Genomic DNA, 14,067 nt, shown 5'->3' with positions numbered 1-14,067 from the left:
CTATGATCCCACTGGGTAGTGTTTTGTCACCCTGACTTGTGTCCCTGCCCTGAGTTTCAGTTTGTCTAAGCCTGAGGTCATTCCTCTGAACTTTAGCTCCTTAGCTAAACTCTGCTCACACCTGTCCCCTATTTTGACCATCCACTGGGCAGCCTGTTTAATGCTTTGTGTTCTGTTTTCTCCTTGGTGCTCAGCTGCTGGTACATCATGGCTCCACTTCCCTGAGGCTAACTCTCCTCAGATTTTGACCCCTGGGATCTACCCTGATTATTTGGTAACTGTACCTCTATTTTACTTAGGATTCTCCACTTAGGGATTTACTTAGGGTTACCACTGAATGGTAGAGCTTCAAGCCTGCTATTCCTATACGCCACTACTTACCTTGCCTTTGGAGATTTCTTTAAAAAAAAAAAATTGACTGCCGCTGCTATGTATTAATTGAGATTCATTTGATTAAAGGGGGAGAAACAGACTTTGTCCAGTTTAAGTAAAAAGAAAAATGTATTGAGAAGATCTGAGTTTAAAAACCAAACCTCAGCAGGGTAAGAAGTAGGGAGGCTCCAGAGACCTTAACTGTGGGAATATCTGGACTTTCCCTTTAGGATGCTCTGTGGCTCAGCTCCAGGACCCTCAGGTGCCGGTCCTCTGAACACAAATCTCCACATTTCCAGGAAAGACAATATGATTAGCCCGGCTTCATTTAGGCATTCAGCCCTGAAGAAAGTAGCCCTGGCTCATGTCACCAAGTAAAGACACGACCTCTGGAACTCACCTCACTGAATCGGGGCAAGTCCCTGGGAAGGGGCCAGGGATGTGAACTGAGAAGTTCACTCCAAGAGTCACACCAGGCATGATCATGCTGGCCTCAGATGACACGCCTCTCCTAGCATGCACCCCCAGCATGACCTTAGTTCCTCCAGCACAGCTGAAGCATTTTTAAAGGCTCTCACAGAAGGCTAGATTTTTAACAAAAACATCGAATAAAAGAGGAACATAAAATGAGAAATACACTTTGTAAAGTAAGATGCGTTAGTCTTCAGCTTGAGATATCTTACCGGATGCCTTCTTGTCTTCTTCAGGGCTGGGTTTGTGTGTCCAAAGCCATCTTTAAGCTTTGCTCCCAAGCCAACTGAGCCAACTCAAAGTTCAGAGGGAGAGAGAAAGGCTAGGAATTCTGTCCTATCTGGCTAAGGCCTGCCTTCAGAGTGCCGTTTTCCCACCTCCTCCTCAGATAAGTGTGACACTGGGACTAGCCTCTCTTTTCAGGAGTAAACCTCTTCCCTTTCTACAGGAGTATGGTCTGGCCTGATGTTTAAAAAAAAAAATACTCTATCAGGGCCGCTTGGGCGCAGCTCACATCTATAATCACAGCACTCTGGGAGGATGAGGCGGGAAGATTGCTTGAGCCCAGGAGTTTGAGACCAGTCTGGGCAACATATGGAGCTCCTGTCTCTATAAAAATAAAAAAAAAATTAGCTAGGTGTAGTGGCATGTGCCTGTAGTCCTGGCTACTTGGGAGGCTAAGGTGGGAGGATTGTGTGAGCCCAGGAGATCAAGGCTGCAGTGAGCTATGATTGCACCATTCCATTCCGGCCTGGATGACAGAGTGAGACTCTGTCTCTGAAAAATAAAAATAAAAACTAAAGCTCCATGCAGCCAATGAAAACATATATATATGTATATATACAGAGAGAGAGAGAAAGAGAGAGAGAGAATCTATCAGAGCACTACCTAGTAAGCCCAACCTAGTAGTCCCGCTATTTATCCACAGGATAGTCACATCTAGTAGCAGGAGATTGATTTATTCTATCACCCAAATGCTAGGACATCTGTGATTTTGGTCCCGGTCATCTCACTGTGGCTTACTGCCATGACTACTGTGTTATAATCTGATTCAGAGTCAACATACACTGACTGTATGTGGGTGATCTGCCAGGCTCCATGGGTAAACATTTATACCTGTGTTATTTAATTCATTATTTAACACAAGTCACATAAGATTCTCTTGGAGAAAGTGTGGTAGCCAAATCTGTTTGGTTAACACTGACTCATCTGCCTTTCTTTTGCAGGCCCAGAATACTCAGTACCTCTCAATGACCCTCAGACGCTGTAGGAAGAGGATTGGTTCACCTTTTAACCCAGAATTTCTCACATTGAATGGTTAGTGTAATCCTTTTCTGTCTAGTCATATTTTTGCTGAACTAGCTTTCAATGGAACACTTTTAAGGAAATGAGAATTTAATTTAATGTTGCCAGCATTTCTGTGAAGAAGGTGCCATTAGTCTCATTTCACAGATGGGAAGACAGAGCCCCACCTCAGAGTCCTCGTACAGCTTGGCCAAGTTCATTGCGTGGCTCTGTGGAGCTCTGATCTGGGTCCTCTGAGTCCAAATCTATGCTTTTTCTGCTGTGCCTGGATCTCCACAGGCTTTGAGACTTGCCAAATTCTGCTGTGTGCCAGATCTGGATGCTGATTATGTTTCATGCTTTTGTTTCACTATGAAACCCTAGGTTTGGGTTGCAAATCCCTAACCAGCCAGAGAGAAAGCACTAAAAGGTGACCTCCCTGGGTAACTTCCAAGGCCACATGCAAACTCCTCTCCTGTTTCCTCTCCTGCTGCCGGCTCCACACACCTCCAGTTATCTCCATTCTTCATTCTAACTTGGCAGGCGATGCACTACACTAGGCCTGTTTCTAACATGGTACCCCACGCCTCCTGGTACCCCACAACATGTGTCATCTTCCTCTCTCCTTGAGTGTTGACTAGACCAAGTGACTCACTTCTAACTAACAGACTATGGCAAACGTGATGGGCTGTCCCCTCCAAGGTTAGATTAGGTACTTGTCAGCGTCTTCCAGAGAAACAGAGCATGTAATGTACAGCATGCAATTATAGAGGTCAGTAAGTCTCAAGATCCCCAAGATCTGCAGGTGGAGTCTACAAGCTGGAGACCCAGAAGCTGATGGTGTAGCTTTCATCCAAACGCTGGCAGGCTCGAGACCCAGGAACAGCCAGTGTTTCCGTGTGAGACCAAAAGAAGGAAACAGCTGATATCCCAGTTCAAAGGCAGTCAGGCAGGAGGAGTTCCTTCTTGGTCGAGTGAGGGTCAGTCCTTTTCTTCTATTCAGGTTTTCAACTGACTGGATGAGGTCCACCCATGTTGAGGAGAGCAATCTGCTCTACTCAGCCTACCAATTTAAATGTTCATTTCATCCTCACAAAGACACCCAGCATAATGCTTAACCAAATATCTGGGTGGCCAAGTAAGCTGACACACAAAATTAGCCATCACAGGTTTCAAAAATCTTCCGTGACTTCTTCTGTCTTGGTCGCACTCTCTCTGGTCCTCTCTGCTTTCTTGCTCTGCTGAAGCAAGCTGCCAGGTTGTGGGCTGTCCTATAGAAAGCCCCACATAGCAAGGAACTGAGGTAGCTTCCAGCCAACAGCCAGCAAGGAGCAGAGACCCTGAGTCCAACAGCTGGTGAGGAACTTCGTCCTGCTGATAGCCATGTGAGTGAGTTTGGAGGCGAGTTCTTACCTGTCTGTTGAGCCTTGAGATGACTGTGACCCTGGTTGACATCTTAATTATAACCTGTTGGATCCTAAAGCAGGGAACCCAGCTAAGCCATGTCTGGATTCCTGGTCTATAGAAACCATGAAATAATAAATGTTATTTTAACACATTTCATTTTGGGGTGATTCTTTTTTCAGCTCTAGATAACTAACACATCTCCAAACTTTTACTAGAAGGGATACCCTCATAGCTGAACAAATTCTACCTATGACATTTAGACAGTACAGTTTAGGGAAGAATACTTACTGAAAAAAATGAGACAAATTCAGAGGAAACTGAAACACAACTTTTCGGAATATTCCGTATCAGCTATCTTGCAATGTGCCCTTTCTTTCTCCACCCACCACTTCCCCAGAGTCATGGTACCTTTTGCTTGTGCCCTGCCCAATCCCACACAGCATAAATCAGTCAGCATCAGACCAACATATCTAGAGACACACTCTATGATTCTTTGTCAGAAATGAGGTGATAATTGATTTGTTTCTGTCTTCAAGGACTATAATAGGTGAAGTGAATGTGACTTTTTTGTTCCCTTTGGGAATCTTGACTACAAAATTATATTTTTCTGCATCACACAAAGGAGCAAAGCATATGCTTGGTGCTATGGACACCTAGTTTTTCATGGAACCCGTACCCAAATGTCCTGGAGCCTCCGTTTCTTTGTTTCTTCATTTTTCAGCTGTAAATTGAAGTAATGAGTCCTCATAGGATTTATGGGAGTATGAGATACTATATCAAAAGGATTACCTGAAATTACATGTATAGCAAAGGGCTTGTGCATAGTAATTCATTTAAAAAAGAAAGTTCTGGCCAGGTGCAGTGGCTCACTCCTATAATCCCAGCACTTTGAGAAGCCAAGGCAGGAGGATCCCTTGAGTTTAGGAGTTCTAGGTTACTATGAGCTATGATCATGCCACCGCACTCCAGCATGGATGACAGAGCAAGACCTTATCTCTTAAAAAAATTAAAAAGTAGCACAATAGCAGAGAATGTCTACCTTAATCTTTAGATACAAAAATAAAAATATTGTAGTTTAAAAACTTGCTGGTAAAAAAAATTGATGGCCAAAGTCAATGATTTGCTCTAAGTAATTAGAGTTAGAATGATTGCATTACTTATAAAAGTGAAGTCAAAGATCAAGCAACAAATATAGTAGAGAACAGCGGGTCAGCCAGTCGTAGAGCTGGGCTAAACCTCAGGTCCAAAGACCTGCGTGGCTTAAGCAGTTCTCTAAAACTGGATTATAGCATTTTAGTTTCTGCCTGGGGCACTCCTTGTTCAATGGGTCAAACATTGCTTTGCAAGCAAATTTCCTTTGCCAGTTAAGTGTAAGCTCAGGCCCCTGTCCATATAATGCAAAAGGTTGAGGCCTCGGGCACTATTTGTGAATGAGTATTTTATTTAGGTCTATTTATCCATTGTTATTGTAGCACATCGATATAGCTGGGCTGTTTTTAAACCTGAGATATTGGGATGCCCATTTAGGGAAAGAATGTGCACAAGATACAATAATGTGGAGCATCTGCCATGTGCCAGGCACTAGAGGACACACACACCATATTGAGACTTCCTATGGTTGCAATGCAAAGTATCTAGGATCCCCATGGTTATTGCACACTGTAGGGTCCAGCATCTGAGTGCCTCTGCTGTAAAAAGCAGATTTGTCATTTTTTGCACTCTCCACTTCCAGGTCGTTGTTGTTGCCATGTTAGGGGTCCCCTTCATCTGCTCACAAGTTCTAAGAAGCGGACAAAGCCTACAGACACTGAGGAGGGGAGGAGGTGCTTCCAGGGGAAGGAAGGCCAAATAGTTGACTATGAAAAGTCCTCACAAGGTTGTTTAAGCTTAATTCTTGCAAGCACAAAAATAAAATACGAGGATATATAGAAAAGATCAGACTTGCAGAGACATTTGCATAATTAAATTTGCATGCAACTAATAGAAAAACAGACTACTATTTTATTAACTTACAGGACAGGATGCATTCCAAGAGGCCAGAGTATGTGCATCTCAGCTCCTGATGGTTTCCACCACCACCATTACTTTCTCTATGTCAAGATACCTGGGAAGCCGGGTGAGTATACCTAAGCTTCCTTGGTAAGTAAACTATCTGGAGTAAGATTTCATCCAGACCATGGGGAGACCTTATGAAATACTCTTGCCTTTCAGCTGAGTATACCTCTCTAGGCCAAGCATGCCTCAGTGCCCTGACTCAGAATTTCTGTTTTTTGGGTGTACTGGCCTCCTGGTCAGTTAACAATATTGCATGCAGATTTTTGTATGAGTTTTGTACATATGTCTTCATATATATCTTTGTATGTCCAACTTAGTTGGACACACATTGCTAAGTTTGCTTCTTAGCACCTGGGTTTTCTATGTTGCCATTGCCTTTTTGTTGGCACATTCTTTCTTTAGAAGGATTAGCTATAGTGGTGTCTACTCACAGTAGATAGTAACTTAAATAGTTTAAGAAGGTGCATGAAAGGAGTCAAGCTGAATCATTACAGATTTCATGGTGATGGTGGGAAGAAGAGAAGAGGAGGTGCAGCCTTTTGGGGGAAGTACTTATTGTTAGAAACAGAAAGATGAGAAAGAGATTTTGCTGAGAAAGAGTTCTCAGGAAACAGAACTCTTTTATAAGGAAGTGCCCCAGAATTTGCAGGGCTTTTCTCCCTCAGTAGGGAGGCAAAGAGTAGGCAAAGAGTAGCAGCCTGTTCTTTGCCACTGCCCTTCTGATGTCTCCTGGATCAATATGGAGTTGCAATTCTCTCTAGGGGAGAATGCCACACACCAGTGGCATTATGAATAAACATCAAGATGACAGCAATTACATGGGAGTGGGCAAGAAGAAAAGGGGCCTTTGTTCCGTTTTCTTGAGTGACATAATCCTTGAGGCTTATGATGTGTAGATATGGCTGAGGGAGTATAGGCAAAAGTAGAGAAGGGTTGTATGGAAAAATGATTGTAGCTGGATTCTCCACCAACTGGCACGTGTGGGGTGAGCCAATTATATATTAATTTAGAAAATGAAGGCATGTGATATTTCTTGTACCTGAGTGCCAAGGAGATTTCTTCTGAGGATCTTTGCTGTTAATGCCCAAGACCCACTTGGGTCAAGGCAGAAGGTTTGTGTACAGCTGTGCCTATTTACTAGACCACTGTCTACTAGGACTGTATGTTAGCTCTTTAAGCTCTCTTCCCCTTCCCACCAGCTCATCTCCAACATGTGCTAGATCATGTCCCATTGCATTCCCCTAGCTTTAAGGGAAAAGGAAAAAGCCAGTAGATACTACCTATGGAATGCCCACTGGGTTTTCTTTAAGGCAGTAGTTCTTAACTCTGGCTGCAAGTTAGAATCACCTGGGAAAATTTTGGAAAAAATGATTATGCTCAGGCCCAACCTGTAGCCAATGAATCAGAATCTCCAGGGGTGGAACCCAAGTGTGAGAGTTTTTTGAAAGTTCACTATGTAATTTTAACACATAGCCAGTGAGAGTGGCTGATCTGGGGCCCCAAAGTAGACCACAGTAATGTAATTCAGAACTGGAGGCTTTGCTAGGATAGTTAAATATCACTAAGCTGAGAAACAGACTCTCTTTTAAAGTCTTGATATTATAATAACATTCTAAGAACATGATGCATGGAGACAGTCGCTTGACCCTTTAGAGGAAAGGCCAGCCAATGAGTGAAGGGCATGAGTGTGGCTTTGACAAGGGAAAGTACTGGAAGTTTGGGGCCTTTTGGAATATGCTTACTGCTTGAGATAATGCCTGAAGGTTGAGACTGATATGAATTATTTAGACCTTTAGAGAGATTCTTTACGATGGAATCAATTTTACTTATCTTTTCTTTGCATAGTCAGACTGAAATGGTCAAACCTCTGGAGTGAAACTGACTTTACCAACAGCAGCAAAGAGAAAGTTCTGATGTTCACTACCGTGTTGCTGATAAAACCTAAAATTGATTGAGATGCCCCTTGGGAGGTCTCAAGGGAACTTAAATCCTGTTGCTATAAAGTGTTATAATAATCTCCTTTGTATGTTATATTCATGAGATGTGTGATATGCATTTAATGAGAACTCAGACAAGAGGGTAGAAGCTTGGTCTCTTTAAAGCAACGTAGAATAAAACTCAGAGGTTGTATTGCAAGTTCACATTTTATTTTTTTCTCGGGAGGTTTTGGCTTTCTGGCACAAAGAAGTGTCAGGTCTAAGAGGTTATCTGTTTTTAGTGTGACTGAAGTGACCGTATGTCCTGATTTGCCCCAAAGGGTTTCAGTTTACACCTGTTGTCTTAATTGTCAATAGCCCACCTTTTCATTTTCTAAAGTGTCCTGGTTTAGATGATAAATGACATGGTCACCTTTGTCATCCTATAGTGTACCTCTGGACTGGGAAGAAGAGACCTGTGTTCTAGTACTATTTCTTCCACTAACTAGCTCTGTGCTCAGTAAATTAATTTTCCTCGTAGGGATTTAGGTTCCTTCTCAGTCAACAAAGGGCTATTTAACCCAGGGATCCAGGGACTAGCCTCCTGGCCAGTGAACAACATTGCATGTTTTTGTATGAATTTTGTATATATGTCTTCATATATATCTTTGTATGTATATTTTTTTTCTGGGGAGAGTTTCTGTAGCTGTCATCATATTTTTCAAAGGGTTTTATGATCCCCAAATGGTAAGGAACCACATTGGATGAACTCTGCAGACTTATTAATCTCCAGAATTCTGTGCTTGTGTGGTTATGATGCTTTTAAAATAGAACTTGGGAGTCAGTTAAAATATTGTCTGAGAATATCTCCACAGTGAGAACTGTACCATAATTGATTTTCCCTGTACCAAACAAATAAATGGAATCTTATTTTTAGAGACAGGCAGCCCACGCACTGCAGTGATGAAAGGACTCTCCAACGAGGCAGACAGGAACCCTGCAGTTGGGAATACAGAGCCTTCTCCTATGGGAAGACCACAGGAAAAAGAAACACCCAAGGGGGAGGCATGAGTCTTTGTGAAGTAAGGATGATTTACAAGGCAACCAAAGAAATGTCTTGGCTTTCTTATCTAAGGCTGATAGAAAAGAGAATGGAAGATAAGTAATTAAGGAAGTAATTATACTATAGACCAAAAGAAGGGACAGGGAGCTAGGAGTCTGCGGATGTTTTCCGTTCTGCCATTAAACTAGAGCATGACCTTGGGCAGATTAGTTTCCTCCGCTGCAAAACCAGGATCAAACTCTGTGATTATTTAATTGTCATGACTCAAATCTCTGTACTTGCTCATTTCAGCTCATTTCCCCCCTTTCAGTGACCTTGATGAAATTTTCCTGTGCCTCTTTTTAGTTTTTCAGAATCAATTCACTTGCCTAAGTCCTGCTATACTGCATTTTTTCATAAAGGATGCCTCACTGAGAACATTTTATATTTTAAGCACACCTATTTATTGTAGAGAGAAAATCTGCTTTGAAATTATGGCCAGAACTTTACTAGTGCGTTCTTTTGAAGAATGTAGCACTTGAGCAAGAAAACCTAGAGGTCGTTTTTTGGTTTAGAGTGACCACTGAAACAATGATGAAAATAGCTATAAACAGTTCAAAAAGTGATTTGAGTAAAATTGTTCAGAGGATCAGACTGGAGCCTGGGAAGTCCTAGAGTCCTAGCCCTGATGGTAACAGGAAACGTTTGGTACTAACACAAAATTCCGTTCGAATTTTTCATCAAGTAACTCATGGGTGATGATGAAGAATTTTCTGTTTACCTTGTTTGCATTGTTGAACGACTCTCATTTACAATTTCTGCTCTAATATTTAGATTCAGGGACAACTCAAAGCACAACAGTAATAATTGTTTGTCAGGCAGCATTATCCAGTAGACTGGCTCAGTGGTCTCTGGAGTGAGGTGTGAGCACCTCAGGGGAGGTGCAAGATGATCCATTGGATCATGGGGAAAATGTTAAACCCTTATTTAAACTTCTATTAGGTGTACTATCAAGCATGTTTAGGGGATCCCCAGGCTAAGCCATTGTTTATTCTTTGTGAGGTGTTTGTCTTGGGAGATATATACATACAATGTGGTGTTGCTATAATGAGTGCTGAGATTTCAACCCTATAAGAGCCATGGGCTCTGGAGAACTGTGAACTGGGACATTTCTAATGTGATGAGGATTGACAGGTTGTGTCTGATACCATGTGCTAACAGCCTGAAGATATTGAGAAAAAGGACTACACAAAATGAATGACCAATGGACAGTGGATTTGATACACGGTCCCTTGATAGTGACTTTTGAGGTGAAAGTCACACAGTTCAGCTATCTGAGGATTCTGGCAGGCATCACTATAATCACCACCCCCTACCCCTAAAAGGACTCGTATTTTTCCTTGTCTGTTTTCTTTTATCAAGTGGCAGGTAAAACAAAATCTCAAGTTGATTATAGCTCTAGTATCACTTATGTCAATGTCATTCAAAATAATAAAGAATGAGGGGGAGAAATGGACAAACTCTTATGAGGAAAAAAATGGAATCCAATAAAAAGGTAGTATCCAAGGTAAGTTTTAATGCTTGGCTGAGGCTAGTGGCTTCGTTAGAATAACGTGGGAAAATTTTTAAAAATTCTAATGCCTGAAACCCACCCCCAGAGATTTCCACCAGAGATTCCTGTCTTAATTGTCTGGAGTGGAGCCTGGCATCAACTTAACCTCCCATGTTTTGCTGGTTTGAAGACCTGCAAGGAATGTCCTGCCGTCAGTTAATTTCTGTAATAAACATTAAACATGCTGGCTCTCTTTCTCTCAGACTCTTAGGAGGAGCCATACTTTTCCCAACCCATTAAATATTCATGGCCTTGAGAACTGATAAAAGTAGGAGCTGGTACCTATATAACGTAAAAGCTACCATTAGAGAAAGTAAGAAACTTGGCATTTGATAGAAGAAATATTGGTCGTTCTATCATAAATTATTTACTCTCATGCTGTTCCTTTAAAGACATACTTCCTGATTTAAAATTCCTCTCTCCCTTTTTCATATTCAAGTGTGGACATTAACTTCTTCCTTGTCTATCTGGTGGTGCAACTCAGTAAAGAAAAATGTTGAAAAATCGTGTAATGTTAAAAGAACTCTAGGAAGAAAAAAAAAAAAGAATTGGTTACCTCAATTCGTTCACCATTTTTTCAAGGGAAATGAATATTCGGATTTCCCTTTTAAGTTATTAGTTGCTTTGGGGATGATATATCTAAGGTTGCTCAGCCATACTTCTCAAATTGGAATCTGCAGACAGAACTCATCCATTGTTTGGGTGTGCTTCCCCTTTGTGATACAGATGCTTTCCTGTTGAATCCCTTCTGATGACATATGGAGCCACAGGAAATTTAGGGAACAAAAATGGTTTCTACATAAAACAAATGTATACACTTTTGGGGAGATTCCTCTTTTTGGTTTATTCTTGGCACTTTGAAGTGTAAAAAAGAGGGAAGTTAAAAGTACAACAATTGGCATAAATACACATGGATGAAGGAAGAAATCTGATTGCTCTCCATCTCTTTCCACTCTTACATATAACCTGTGTATCTGTGGGGTCAGTCAGGAAAAGAGTATGATAAGAATAGTGGTTTAATAAAGGGAATTTATTATTGGAAACTAGTAAAAAACAATGCGTATTAGTCTGTTCTTGCATTGCTATAAAGAATTACCTGCGACTGGGTAATTTGTAAAGAAAAGAGGTTTGATTGGCTCATGGTTCTGCAGGCTGTAGAGATAACATGACTGGAGAGGCCTCAGGAAACTTACAACCATGGCGGAAGGCAAAGGGGAAGCTGGCACGTCCTACATGCCTGGAGCAGGAGGAAGAGAGAGCAGGGAGAGGTGTTGCACACCTTTAAACAACTAGATCTCATGAGAACTCACTCACTATCATGAGAACAGCAAGGGGGAAATCCCCCCTGCCCCCCCCCCCCGCCCATGATCTAAACACCTCCCACCAGGCCCCTCCTCCAACACTGGGGATTATAATTCGACATGAAATTTGGTCAGGGACACAAATCCAAACCATATCACAATGGTATTGGAAGAGAGGAAGAAATCAAACAGGGAATGGAGGGGCAAAAGAGAGGTTAGTGGCAGCAGCAGATCAGTACCAGGAGGCATCTGGGGAGGAGATAGTATGAGCAGAGGCAGGAAACCAGGGCTTCTGGATGCAGTCAGTAACCATGGCAAAAGCTGCCTTCCGGAGCCAGGTGGGATCAGGGAGGGAGGAGCTTCTTTGCTAGACTAGAACCAGAAAAGGGAGGGAGCAAATATCCTGACTTTTCCTTTCCCCAGCCCTCCAATACGTCTCTAAGTGCTTACAATTGCCTGAACCTAACAGGAAGCCAATCGTTTCTAACTGCAATACAATTTTAGCAAAACAATACTAATTGTCACATTAAATTAATCTTGTTAATTTGAACTGTATTGGTTTGGTAGTTTTGTTTCTAATTTGTAAATTTGTTTTGGTATTACAGTTGTTTAGCATAATGAGTTTATATCTAGTTTTACATTTGTATATATTTTTAAAGTAACATTCTAATGAAAGTAATTCATCAACATTAGGGGCTCAGAAGAATATTTTTCCTCCAAAAACAGGGTATACATTACTCAAGTTTGACAATAATGACATAAAATTCTGATAGCAGGAATCACCCAGGACTTAATTGGGAGAACTGGGAAAGAGAATCTGAGGATTGCCTAAGACTTGAGTCACAGAGGGTAGGGAGTTCTCAGTTTTGCTTAGGATGACTATTTTAAAGACACACTTCAAAAAGGGAGGATGTTTACTAAAACTCCAGCTCATAGGCAGACGTTGCTTTTTTATCAGAAGTATGTAATAAAATATTTTAAGTGGGGTCAATATAAATGTTGTTAACCATGAGGCTTGCCCCCAAGTTTGATTTTCTACGTGGGTGATCTGCAATATGTTCTTTTTAAAAATGACCGGCTTTGCAGCCTTTCTGGTCACCAGCAGGAGGTATTTTTGACAGACCTGAAGGTGACCCTGGAGGCCAGACTGGGAATATCTCGCCTTTAGCCTCTAGTACAATGGGACTTGGAGAGTAAGGAAAATCAGTTGCCCCATATTGGGTGAAGCCTTGTGTTCACTGATAGAAGCATTTTGTCTAAATTCCTGTCTATCCCATATGGAAAACAAATACAAAACAGATCCTTACCCATTCCTCCAATGATTGAGATACAAATAACCTTTATATAAAGCAGAATAAGTAACTTCATTTTTAAACTCAAAATAATTATAAACTATTTGAAGTATACAGAAAATAATATAATAGCATTTTTTATATATAGCATCCAGCTTTAAAAACTATGTTTTATGATATTCATTTCAGACCTCTCCCTCTCTTTCTTAAAAAAAATTTCAGGTATAACCCAAGCTTAATGTTTATTATTGACCATTTCTTTAAAATTTAATTTTCCATTAGAATTCTTCTTTGACTCATGAATTATTTTGGAAATTAAAAATTTTCCAGAAGACTGGGATCTTTTGGGCTGTGTTTTGGGTTGATGTTGGTCAGAGAATACAGTCCATGTGATACCAGTTCTCTGATATTTCCTGAGATTTGATTTGTTGCCTAGGTAATTTTTTTACTTTTATTTGTGCTTGAAAATCAATATTTACAATCAAATGGTTGGGATAAGGTTCCATATATTTCTATTAGCTTAATCATATTCATTGCATTGTTCAAATTATCTATATGCTTATTACTTTTTTATCTCTTTGACATATCAATTTCTGAGAAAGAGATCTTAAAATATTCCACTGTGGGTGTGTATTTGTCAATTTCTCCTTGTATTTTAATTTTTGTTTTGTGTGTTTTGGAGCTATAATGTTGTGGGGGGAAAAAAGGCATAGGATTATGCTATTTTCCTGGAGAATTTTCTTTTTAATTTTAGGTAATAGCCTTTATTATTCTGCAAAATACTTAAAGTCTGTTTTATCTACTATGTATGCCAATATACAAGCTTTCATTTGTTTATAATTTGCCTGGTATTCAGATGCTCCTTGACTTACAATGGGGTTACATTCTGATGAACCCATCATAAGTTGAAAACATCATGTCAAAAATGTATTTAATACACCTAACCTAATGAACATCATTGCTTAGCCTAGCCTACCTTAAACATGCTCAGAACACTTACATTAGCCTACAGTTTAGCAAAATTATCTAATGCGAAGCCGATTTTATGGTAAAGTGTTGAATATCTCATGTAATTTATTAAATACTATACTGAAAGTGAAAAACAAAATGGTTGCATGAGTACTTGAAGTACAGTTTCTACTAAATGGAGGGCCTAATGAATATGTATTGCTTTCACACCATAGTAAAGTCAAACAATCATAAGTTGAACCATTATAACTCAGGGACCATCTATATATATATTTTTTCATTTTTTCTACCTTTCAGTGTCATTGTGTTCTAGGTGGGTCTTCTGTAAGAAGCATTCATGTGGATT

General features: G+C 40.6%; 1 long non-coding RNA gene across 1 annotated transcript in view; it reads left to right on the top strand.

The window, feature by feature from the left end:
• Nucleotides 1–14,067, top strand: part of LINC00607 (long intergenic non-protein coding RNA 607) — a 231,974-nt gene that overhangs the window by 94,073 nt on the left and 123,834 nt on the right. The window contains exons 3-5 of the long non-coding RNA NR_037195.1: nucleotides 2,070–2,160; nucleotides 5,550–5,650; nucleotides 8,443–8,587. This is a non-coding gene — a long non-coding RNA (long intergenic non-protein coding RNA 607). The remainder of the gene's footprint in view (nucleotides 1–2,069; nucleotides 2,161–5,549; nucleotides 5,651–8,442; nucleotides 8,588–14,067) is intronic.

Source organism: Homo sapiens, chromosome 2 (genome assembly GCF_000001405.40).
Source record: "Homo sapiens chromosome 2, GRCh38.p14 Primary Assembly".
Classification (NCBI taxonomy): domain Eukaryota; kingdom Metazoa; phylum Chordata; class Mammalia; order Primates; family Hominidae; genus Homo; species Homo sapiens.
Note: the sequence above shows the minus strand (reverse complement) of the source record. Positions and strands in the feature narration are given on the sequence as shown.